This window comes from Homo sapiens, chromosome X (genome assembly GCF_000001405.40).
Source record: "Homo sapiens chromosome X, GRCh38.p14 Primary Assembly".
Lineage (NCBI taxonomy): Eukaryota > Metazoa > Chordata > Mammalia > Primates > Hominidae > Homo > Homo sapiens.
The window spans coordinates 106167796-106180284 of NC_000023.11; the positions used below are offsets into that span (position 1 = coordinate 106167796).

The window sequence follows — 12489 nt, forward strand, 5'->3', positions numbered from 1 at the left end:
GAAATGACCTAAGGAAAGAAGTATAAGAAACTTGAATAAAAGGAGAGATATATTATGTCCCAGGTTCAGATTCAAAATTGTAAAGAATTAATTCTACCTAAAATAAAGTATTAATTCACTGTAATCCAAATCAAAATACTTAGCGTATGTTTTTTTGTGAAGTTTGGCCAGTAGGTCTTAAATTTACCAGAAATAAAGTACAAAAGAGGATCAGAAAAAATATATGTAAGGAACGTTTTAACCACATCTTTATTATATGAAAAAGAGATTTGCTGTTGCTTCTCTTTTTCCATTAAAACACCTATCCTAGGGGGTTGAATGGAAATTGAACAGACATAGGTTACCATTACACTTTAAAGTACTTTAAGAGGAACATTTCTTCCCTTTAACTGTATTTCGGTTTAAGTTGGTCATTTTTCTCCTAAGCGAAGGAAGAACCTCGTGCTTTCCCCATCACGGAGAGGGGGCGGAGCATCCTCTAGGAGCTTGGAAGAAAGCTGCGCCCAGCCAGTCTTCGGGGAGGAGCTGCATTACACACAGGCTTCGGAGGCTTCCGTGGAGAAGCTTGGAGGTAATGGCTGTCGTAAATGCTAGTTATTTTCAGAGAGTTCTCGAAGATTTGGAATAAAGGTGAGAAAAGAAGAGAGTGCTGCTTAGGAATAACGGGAAAGGAGTGTCGTTCTGTGAGGGTCGTTGTTTCTGTGAGGGAATTAATATCTGTGTTTTGTGTTCCTTCAGATTATTTTAAAAGTCCACAGTCGGGGAGGTGGTAATCAACATTACACCTGTGGAAAAATATTCTTAAAGAGGTAGCAAAAGCTAACTTTTTAATAGAGCATTTTATGTTTCCATCAAAAGGCAGTGGTGGCTGAGATAAATGATGAAACAAAACTTGGGAGTTTAATCTTCCTTATTTTGAAAAAGGTTGTAATAGTCTTAAATGAAAAATTAAGTTGTTGGGGATGTTGGTTTTTTATATTACTTTGAATGTGTTGTGTTTCTAACAAATCTTACTGTTTTGGTGGAGTATGTTAGTAATTTAAAGTAATGCATAACTGTGCAAATTCGAGTATCTCTGAGAATTAGTTTGGTTATTTGTCAAGGGATACACAATGACTTAATATAATAGCTTTTTAAATAATGTGCAAAATATGATCTTTGTCTGTACTTCTACCTATCTCTCAAGAGAATTGTACATTCCTATTTGTACTGCAATGGAAAAAATCTAAAAGATCATAACAATAACAGACGTGCATTAGTATAATAAAACACAACAAACAATATACTTAGTAATAAAGGATGCCTGATAAAAAAGGATGTCAGGGGAAAAAGGAGGAAATTTTCCACTTCTTTCTTCCACATTTTACTTAGCATGTAGTTTCTATGTCGGCATAGAAACTGAGATGAGAACTTAAAATCATGGGGAAAAGCTACTTTCCCCAAAATAGCGTAAACTCATATATAAACAGGGAAAGGTGTTCAAATATGTGGCTAAATAAATGTAATTTTAAATAGTATATTCAAACATGTATGTGATGAGGAAAAAAATAAAAAGGATTAGACATCAAATGTATGCCGTGAACAACTCAGGGTTTGAGTACTGATGATGTGTATTTTCATCTTTAGATTTTTATGTACTTTTAGATTCTTTTGGAAACGATAATGGAGCTGAAAAGGGAATAATCACTTTTGTTACAGACACTTGAGCAAATAGCCACACACACATTCCATTGTCTTTAGCTGCAGTAGGATTTTTCTATGGGTCTGAGAAGGCTCATTACCTGATTGCTTGTGCTTTTCTTGCAATTCAACTATTGAGGCTATAGTCCAGACTCTGGTTCAAGCAGAACATATTTATCTTTATACTCCTGAGGAATAATTCGTAAAATGTTTTAAACATATTATGACATAGTCATATAGGATAGTATATCTATAATGTTGAATACTACGCAGCTGTAAAAGGAATGAGTTAACTCTAAATGCAATGATTAGAGTAAATGTCCAAGGTAGTTTCTAAAAATAAGCAAATTGAAGAATGGCCTGTATCATGTAATCCTATTTGTTTACCAAAAAGAATGTGCATGCATTCGTACAGTGTATGCAATAAAAACCTGGAAATATACATGCTACTTTATTAATTGGAGAAATCTGGAAATAATACATGCCACTTTATTAATTGGAGATATAAGTGTTCTTATATCTCCACACATATCTCCAATTAATAGACAGAATATTTTAACCTTCTATGTATTACATTTCCCCATTTTAAAAATTTCATTTTGAAAAGAGCAAGCCTGAATAATTTTCATCATGAGAAAAACATAAAATTTTAGAAATGTGGAAAAAATTTTGTAAAGCAATTCACAAAAAGATGATATGGAAAATAATTATTGATATGGAAAGATGTTCAAATATATTACTGGAGGAATAAAGGGTCTAGTTTCAAAAAGCTTCCACATTGGTAAGTCTCTACAGAAAAAAATCTAGAAATATACAGAGCAAACCATTACATTTTGACCATTGTTGTGGAGATTTCCTTTCTTCTTTGGAAATCCAAAAGATGTAGAAAGATATATACAATTTGCATGAGAGATATTATGATGAAAAATATTAAAATGAGAACATTATGATCCCATTTTTGTATAACACATGCACAGAACTCTTAAACTGAGAATGAAAAATTCTAGAAGCCTGAGTGTCTGCAGTTCTGGTTCTGGTCACAAGATGGTGCTTGCCAGGTTTACTAAGCTTTGTCCAGGCAAATATTTTTATGAAGTGGACAAAGCAATGAAATATGTTTTGTATTAGCCGACTATGAGACAGCATGTAGAGTGTGATTGAAATTCCATTCAAAATATTATAAATATCTAGAAGAAAAATCCCCACCAATAACTGACATGAAGACTCACACAGAAATCATAAAAAATGCTGCTACATAGAGTCTGGCCCATAGTAGAAACAAGTCAATTGTTCTTTCCCTTCTCTCTTTTCTCCACCTCATAATTTTCCTGAAGGATATGATTTTAGCATGAACGAAATAACATAACTGACCCAGAGAGCATTTCATATTATAATAACATGAAGGAAAATAGATGGCATCTACATCACAGATGAGATTTTGCCTCATTCCTGTGTTTTGGAATGACAGCCTGTTAGAGTTTAGGTAGGGAAATTTATTTACACCTTTTCCATTTCATTGGTTTGATTCCCTGCCAGCCGAGCCCCAGAAAGACAGGTCAACCACAGAAGTGCTGAGCCAGGTAAAGACCCTGCTGGACAAGCAGCTGGAGTGAGAATCAAGACAGCTGGACCACAGGACCAGACCCAGCAGTATCCATGTAACAGTGAGTAAGACTCTTCCCATTTCACAAAACATTTCACGGTATAAACATGTTGAGAACTTGGAGAACAATGTATTTTGCTTCCGGCTCTACAGTCATCATAGCATTTTAAATTAAAAGCCACATTTCATGTAAGGATTATGTTAGGTTGAGAATTTGGGGTGTACTTCATTTTGTTTCCTGTTCTACAGCTATCATGTTTGTAATTAAAAGTCATAACTTCTAGTTTTTGGAAAGAATCCATATATTATACCACTATGAAGAAATCATGCAAGAGGCTATGCAGGTGTCTCCCTGAGGCCTGACTCTGTAGTCCTTGACAACTATACTAGGTTGTCATACCATAAACTAGATAACATAGTTATAAAGGTTTCTTAGAACCTGCTTAAGGTCTTATGACCTTCTTGAATCACCTGTACAGTCATGCATGGCTTAACGATGGGGACATATTCTGAGAAATGCTTCAATAGGCGATTTTATCTGAGAACATTATAGAGTGTACTTGCACGAACTTAGATGGTATAGCCTACTACACACTTAGGCTATATGGTATAGCCTACTACACACTTAGGCTATATGGTATAGCCTATTGCTCCTATACCACAAACCTGTATACCATGTTACTGTACTGAATACTATAAGCAGTTGCAACACAACTGCCTACAGTGGTGAATACTGAATACTGTAGGCAGTTGCAACACAACTGCCTACAACATGGTGCTGTTGTCTCCTAGAATAACAATGCCCTTTTCTGGAATACCTCCTGAAAGACCTGCTCTGTGCCTATTTTACGATTAACATTTTTTTTTCTAAGTTGAAGGAATATACTAAAATAAGATTAAAAAGTATAGTAAGTACATAAACCAATAACAGTCATTTATTATCATTATAATAGTATTTGTATATCCAAACATATCTAAATATAGAGAAGTTACAGTAAAAATATGACATAAAAGACAAAAAATGGTATACCTGTATAGGGGAATTACCATGAATGGAGCTTGCAGGACTGGAAGTTACTTTGGGTAAGTCAGTGAGTGAGTGGTGAGTGAAAGTGAAGGCCTAGAATATTATGTATACTACTGTAGCTTGAACACTTAGGCTACACTAAATTTATAAAAAAAAATATTTTTTTAATAATAAATTAACCTTAGCTTATGGTAACATTTTACTTTATAAATGTTTAAATTTTTAAATCTTTTAACACTTTTGTAATAATACCTTAAAGCACTAACACATTGTACAGCAGTAAAAAAAATAAAATAAAATAATTTCTTTCTTTATATCCTTGTTCTATAAGCTTTTTTCCTATTTTAAAAAATTTTTTATTTTTTTTCTTTTCAAACTTTTTTTTGTTAAACACCAACACACATATTAGCCTAGGCCTACACAGGGTCAAGATCGTCAATATCACCATCCTCCATTTACACATCTCGTCCCACTGGAAGGTCTTCAGGGGCAGTAACACTCATGGTGCTGTTGTCTCCTAGAATAACAATGCCCTTTTCTAGAATACCCCCTGAATCAAGACCTGCTCTGTGGCTATTTTACGGTTAGCATTTTTTTTTTCTAAGTAGAAGGAATATACTAAAATAAGATTAAAAAGTACAGTAAGTACATAAACCAATAACAGTCATTTATTATCACTATCAAGTATTAGGTACGTCACATAATTGTATGTGCTATACTTTTATGCCACTATCAGTGTAGTAGGTTGTTTACACCAGCAGCACCACAAACAGGTGAGTCATGAATTGTGCTTCAGTGTTACAATGGCTGTGACCGACATCACTAGGCAACAGGAATTTTGCAGCTTTATTATAATCTTACAGGAACGTCGTCATATATGCAGTTTGTCATTGACTGAAATGTCACTATGCACGACATGACTATATTCTCTTAAATAATATTTTGTAGTGGTTTAACAAACTTAATTCTTTCCCAGCAACCATCACAAATCCGTGCCTCATAACGTTGTGCTGTCAGTGAGATTGTTGATGCTGAGCCTCATTGTGTCCGTGAGCTCTCCTTTGGTTGCCTTGGATAGACAGGGCAGTAGTGGCAGCTTAGAAAAGATTAGAACCCAGCATTCACTTACGATAACTCAGAGGGTTGCAAAAGGCCAAATTATCCAAGAACAAAAACAATGTCCCCGATACTGCCAAAGCTCCTCCCACACAATTCCTTTTTTATTACACAACAGAGAAAATAACGATGGGATATTGGGTTTGTGTTATAATACTTCTCTTTTTTGTACCCCCCCAAATATATTCCACACATCTAACCCCACCTATCTGATACCCATTATTCGTTCTTCTGACTTGTGTCTTGTCTATATTCTCATCGTCTACCTTCATCCTACTTAGTAAAGTAAATTTTTTATCTGATCTCTTTTCTTCTTTGCCATGTTTTAATGCAATCCAATTATCACCCATTGAAAATACTTTATTCAAGCTACTTTGTGAAGGTTCAGGGGGATAAAAGAGGCTACAACAGACGAGAACCATTTACTATCCCCAGATAAATAGAATGAGGCTTCTTAAAAAACAAAAACAAACAAAAAACAGCTTTTCTAGACAACTAAGTAGCTAAAACTCTTTTTATTATTGTATTTTTAAATATATTAATGGCTTAATATTTAATATTTGGACAATCTAGGTTAATATAGAGATACAGGTGACCCATGCATCCTTGCTGACTATGCTATCTAGGATATGGGAGATGACAACCTAGCATTGTTGTCAAGGATTGGACAGTTTTTCTCCGCTGAGCTAATAAAGGTTTCAAACCCACACTGTCTGATTTTTTGGCTGTCTGAAAAATTCAGAAACATAACCATGTCATAATGCCTTGGTGATAAACTCTTACAAGCTAAACATTGGGTCCTGCCAACAGAAATCCATATCTCACCAAAGAACTCTGTGTCATTTTAAAGTTGCTTACCAGGAAAATTTTGACCCAGGCTGACCCTTCTGTTATGAGTCTCTGGAAGAATGATGGCTTCTTTCTTTAGAGTCCCCAACGCAGACAGTTTTCTTTTATTCCATTTGATCATTACAGGAAGAGATGTGTCAAATGCAGCTCTGTGTCTCTAACCTGAATAGCGAGAATGTGGCAGGAGATGTGTTTACCCACTCACTGTGATAACAAATGGGGTTGTGAGGGCCTCACCAACTTTACCTAGTTTTATGATTTTTTATAACATTATCTTAAGAGACCTAAACCTCAGAATCATTATCCATTAGCAATGTGTAGGTTCTAATGCTTCCTGGGAAACAACACCTGAACATTAAAGGCAATAAAAATCTAAATTTAAATCTTAATTTTGTGAATATTTTGTGAATAAAAAAGCTCAGCAAAAGAGGATAAAAATGCAACTTTCCCATACTGAATTGGCAGCTGCAAACCGCAAAGCACAGGAGCAAGGAATTGCCAATTGTTAATGAGGGTAGAATGAAAATGGCAATTCTCTGTATAACGAATGATTTTCAGCCCCTGTCCAGGAATCACCATATCTGAAAGGGAAGCTGCTGCCAGGCCCCTATAACACAAAAGAGACTTCTCATAACTGATCTAAGGCCAAGTTAATGCTATCATGCAGATACGGTCAGTGCAAAAGCATAGTGCAGGCTGGGAGCGGTGGCTCACACCTTGTAATCGTAGCATTTTGGGAGGCCGAGGCAGGCAGATCACCTGAAGTCAGGAGTTTTAGACCAGGCTGGCCAACATGGTGAAACCCCATCTCTACTAAAAGTACAAAAATTAGCTGGGTGTGGTGGCACATGCCTGTAATCCCAGCTACTCAGGAGGCTGAGGCAGGAGACTCACTTGAACCCAGGAGGCAGAGTGAGCTGAGATCGTGCCACTGCACTACAGCCTGAGCGACAGAGCAAGACTCTGTCTCAAAAAAAAAAAAAAAAGAAGAAAAAAGCATAGTGCATGAAAATACTTTTTAATTTGTGTGGGAATGTAGATGGATGTAAGAGATAGAAAGAAGTCAAGGATAGTAAGCATGGTAGTTGCTGAAGATGGTTGTAGTTCACCAATATGTTCACCATCAGAGACATGAGACTAAGCAACACTCACGCTGGGGTTATTTCTTTTTTTTTTTTTTTTTTTTTTGAGACGGAGTCTTGCTCTGTCGCCCAGGCTGGAGTGCACTGGCGCGATCTCGGCTCACTGCAAGCTCCGCCTCCCGGGTTCACGCCATTCTCCTGCCTCAGCCTCCCGAGTAGCTGGGACTACAGGCGCCAGCCACCGCCCCCTGCTGATTTTTTGTATTTTTAGTAGAGACGGGGTTTCACCGTGTTAGCCAGGATGGTCTCGATCTCCTGACCTCATGATCTGCCCACCTCGGCCTCCCAAAGTGCTGGTATTACCGGTGTGAGCCACCGTGCCCGGCCACGCTGGTGTTATATTCACCAATTTCCTCACAGTTTGAATGTGAGCGACATCATCTTTGGTTCTACCAAAGAAACATGATTCCAAGCCCAGGAGGGAGTGAATAGTGGTGGAAAGAGGGCATACCTCCTGTTTTGGAGTCAGACTTTGGCTCCGATTTTGTCTCACCCTCTTCCTAGCTTTGTGACCGTGGCATTAGCAAGAGTGCCCTTGTTTCCTGGATCTCTATTAGTTGTATCATTTATTTGCTTCTTAGTCAATTTAAGTAGAAAAATGCCATCTTATTGCTGTTTTATATTTGCATCTCTTTGATTATTAGGGAAGGTGAATATCTTTTATGTATTAGTTTTAATCTTTATTTTGAATATTTGGGTTTTGAGGAGTCCCGATATATAGCACCTCCCTTTCTCCACTGAACAAACTGGATAGATAGATATAAAACAAATGGAGTTGCAGATGGAAGCCAAAATGTCAACATTACAACAGTACAAGAGGAAGAGGAAGTTGCGGGGTATTGATTATTGTGAGAATCAAATGGGCTTATATATTAACTATTATTTTATTTTATTTTTTTGAGATGGAGTCTTATTCTGTTGCCCAGGCTAGAGTGCAGTGGCGCGATCTCAGCTCACTGCAACCTCCACCTCCCGGGTTCAAGTCATTCTCCCACCTCAGCCCTCTGATTAGCTGGGATTACAGGCACCCACCAACACGCCTGGATAATTTTTGTATTTTTAGTAGAGATGGGGTTTCATCATGTTGGCCAGGCTGGTCTCGAACCGCTGGCCTCAAATGATCTGCCCACCTCGGCCTTCCAAAGTGCTGGGATTACAGGCTTGATAACAGAACTCCAAATTTAAGCAAACCTACCAAAATAGCCTAGAGGTTTGTAGCTGTACAGGAAGGGACAGAGATTCCTGTGGTGGCACCATATGAGCTTGCCCTCAAGGAAGTAAATATTAGGAGTGGGGAAAAATTATACTCTCAGAACATTGTGAATTGTCTATTTATGTCTTTTGCCCATTTTTACTCTGCCATTTATTTCTTATTAATATGTAAGAACTACTTTAGTGATATTTTTGCGTTGAAAACAGTTTTGTCAATTTTGTTCTTATATTTTCAAATTTGGTTTATTGTGTTTTTGCCAATAAGAATTTTTTTGTTTCCAATTTCAGGATATTCAGATACCTACATATCTCTTTAAGGATTTTGGTTGATGTTTTATGTTTAGAAATGACTTTAGTTGAAAAAAACGATGAAACTTTCTGAAAGATGAATGAGAAGACCTGAATAAAAAGAGAGATATACATCATGTGCCAGGGCCAGAAGAATTAAAATTTCAGGGAATTGCTTATCCACAAAATAATGTATTAATTCATTGCAGTACAAATAAGGATGTAGAGGGGCTTTTTAATAGAGCTTGACCAGTCGGATCTTGAAATCGTTTTTAGAAATAAGTTGCCAAAGTAGGCAAGAAAAATATGTAAAAGATGTTCTTTACTGAGTCTTTATTATATGGTAAAGGCATTTCTACCTTTGTTTTTCCCAGAAAATCACACACTCTTGTAGTTTGAATGTAAATTAAACAGACACATGTTGCCATTCCGCTTTCAACTGCTTTAAAAATGATGATCTTTTCGCTTTAAGGGAATTGCAGTTTAACTTGGTGATCCTCTTCCCTTTGAGGGAAAGGTCCCCTTGCTATTCCCATCACTGGGAGGGGGCGGAGCCTCGTCGGAGCCGCTCGGAAGGGAGCTGTACCCGGCCAGTATTGGGGGAGGGGCAGCATTTCAAGAGGCTGCAGCTGACAAGAAGCTTCAAGGTAATGGCTGTCTTAAAGCCAGTTATTTTCTGGGAATTTCTTCGGGCCTTGGTGTTAAAGTAAAAAAAAGGAAAGAAAAGAAATAGAGATTGTTGCCTGAGAGAGGTGGGAATGGAATGGTTTTGTTTGAACTGCTGTTATTGGAACGGAATTAATCCTCTGAATTTTTGTTTCGCCCGATATTTTTAAAGTCCTCCGTGTGGGAATGGGCGATCAAATTACAGTTTCTAAATTAAGACTTCGGTGAGACGTGCTGTTCGTGTTAATTTTTTACGTGGCACTACATATTTCTATCTTTGTTACAGATTTTATTATATTTTGACTTAAACACATTATTCTACACAAAAAATGATAGAAAAATGTAAACACACAAAGAGAATGACATATAGGGACACAAATATAAATGTACATGAACATGGAAAGGGATTCAGATATGCCGTCGAGTGGTAACACTTGTAAAGATGTATATTCGTTTTCCTTAGGAAGGGAACTAGACTCCCGAGTTAACAGTCAGCATCTCTGAGTGTTCATCTCTGAGTGTTCAGATTATGGAAGTTTTTTTAAAATCTATTTTTCACTACTTCCAGCATTTTTAGAATTGTTTCTATTTGTGCTTGTTTTCATAATAAGAAGAGCAAAATAAAGCCAAAACAGTATACCCATTTTGTTTCAAATACATAAACACACATAGACACCACAGACACGCTCCCATACTCCCTTGTCTTTTGTGAATAGTGGAATTTTTCCTGGACCTGATCAAGTGGGTAGCCTGGTTGCTGTGTCAACTACAGCCTTGCATGTGTCCTCCCTGCAGCCCGCTCTTTCAGTCCACAGGTACAGCCATGGTCAGCAAGAACCACTTTTCTATATCATCTAAGTGTAAGAGTGAGAAACGGATAGGATTTGGTTTATTTCTATGAACAGTTTTAAACGTATTATGTACTATGGTGCATCCATACAATGGCACGTTATATAGCTGACAAATGAAAGTATGAACTTGTAGTGACTTGAAAAGGTGTCTGAGAAGTAAAAAGAGCAAACTGCAGAATGGTAAGCACCATATTATGTCATTTAAACATAAAAGACTACATTAATACATGTGTAACCAAATCAGAAAAAATATAAACCAGCCTGCTAATGGAATTATTTGTGCAGTTGAAGAGATAGGGCAGGCTTTACTATCACTATTTTTGAAAAATTCTTAATACATATTTAGCCTTTTTTTAAAACAAAATCAGAAAAAAGATTGAGGTAAAATGTTGCAAAGTTGGGGGAAAATTGCATTTGAAGTGATTCACTAAAAAATCACATTGAAAACACTTAGTAGTATGCAAAAATGTTTAAACCATGAGCTTAAGCAGGACAAAAAGCTGATTTGAAATAATATGCATTCATACGTTTATGTAAAGAAAAAATATGGAAAGATATACAGGAAATAGTATCTTTCCAGAATTATACTTTCTTTTTATATATCTTTCTCATATTTTCAATTTTCAGTAACCATGCAATTATTTTTCTGCAATCCGACCATTGGAGGTGAAGAGATTCGGATTCCATTTTTTACGTAATGCATAACAAAACTAAATTTGAGGATGGTATATTCTAGAAGCCTGAGAAAGCTGCTTGCTGGCAGGATGTAGTTCCCACCGTTCTCCCACAAGGATGTTGTAGTAACAGTTCTGTTTCTCGTCACAAGATGGTGCTTGCAAGATATCCTAAATTTTCTCCAGACAACTATTTTTATGAAGTGAGCAAACAAAACAATGAAATGTATTTTATTATCAGACTATCTGACAGCATGTAGAGTGTGATTCAAATTCCACTCAAAAAATTGTATATGTCTAAAAGAAAAACCCCACCCAAGAACTGATGTGAAGCCTCAAACAGAAATCATTAAAAATGCTGCTACATAGTCTGCCCCATAGTAGACACAAGTCAATTGTCCTTTCCCTTCTCTCCTTTCTCCACCTTGTAATTTTCCTGAATGATATTATTTTAGCATGAGCCAAATAACATAACTGACAAAGAGAGCATTTCATATTATAAGAACATGAAGTGAAAATAGATGGCATCTACATCACAGATGAGATTTCCCCTCATTCCTGTGTTTTGGAATGACATGCCTGTTAAAGTTTAGGCAGGGAAATTTATTTACACCTTTTCCATTTCGTTGGTTTGATTCTCTGCCTTTATCAGAGATGCACTTGACATGGGAAATCTGCATGTGATGCCAGGTGAGCCTCTGAGAAACAGTGGAACCACAAAAGTGCCAAGCAGGGTAAGGGCCCTGCCAGACAAGCAGTTGGAGTAAGAATTAACACAGCTGGATCTTAGCGCCAGACCCACTACTATCTGTGTGACAGTGGGTAAGGCTTTTCCCATTTCACAAAGCATTTCATGGTAAAAACATTCTAAGTTGAGAATATGGGATACAACTGATTTCACTCTCGCTCAGTAGCCATAACATTTTAAATTAAAAGCCACAGATTCTAATGTTGGGAAAGAATTATATATGCTAAACTCCTGTAGGAAAAGTATGCAAACAGTCATAATGATGTCTAATTATGGAAGACTTGGATGCCCCAGCCATCTGCCTGACTCTCACGAAACCCTTAAAAACAATCCTTTCCAATGGGTGGCCGTGGCAGCCATTATGAATCTCCGACTTCTAAGTTTTTTCTCTTAAGAAGGTCGTTGTTGTCTGGATTAGTCCAGGGGATGCAGACCCCCAGTATCTGTGTCTGGCTGCCTTGGGTATACAGGGCAGCACCGTTAGCTTAGAAGAGTCTAAAAAGAATTCCCCTAGAATAAGCCTTGAGAGACTCCAAAGTACAAAAATATTCATTAATAGGAATAGTGTCCCCAACATATTCCCCAGCTTTCCCTGGGCATCTCTCACCACCCTCTCATACACACGTATATTCA

At 37.0% G+C, this 12489-nt stretch overlaps 1 protein-coding gene across 10 annotated transcripts in view; it reads left to right on the forward strand.

Annotated features, from left to right (window-relative positions):
• PWWP3B (PWWP domain containing 3B) overlaps positions 510–12489 on the forward strand; it is a 40652-nt gene continuing 28672 nt past the window's right edge. For 3 of the 10 annotated variants that reach the window (XM_047441823.1, NM_152423.5, XM_017029269.2), the window contains exons 1-3: positions 510–630; positions 3217–3344; positions 9429–9564. The gene's annotated coding sequence lies outside the window, so the exon portion shown is untranslated. Of the gene's footprint in view, positions 631–3216; positions 3345–9389; positions 9565–12489 lie in introns of all 10 variants that reach the window. The other 7 variants (XM_047441822.1, NM_001171020.2, XM_011530856.2 and 4 more) reach the window with 3 other exon arrangements.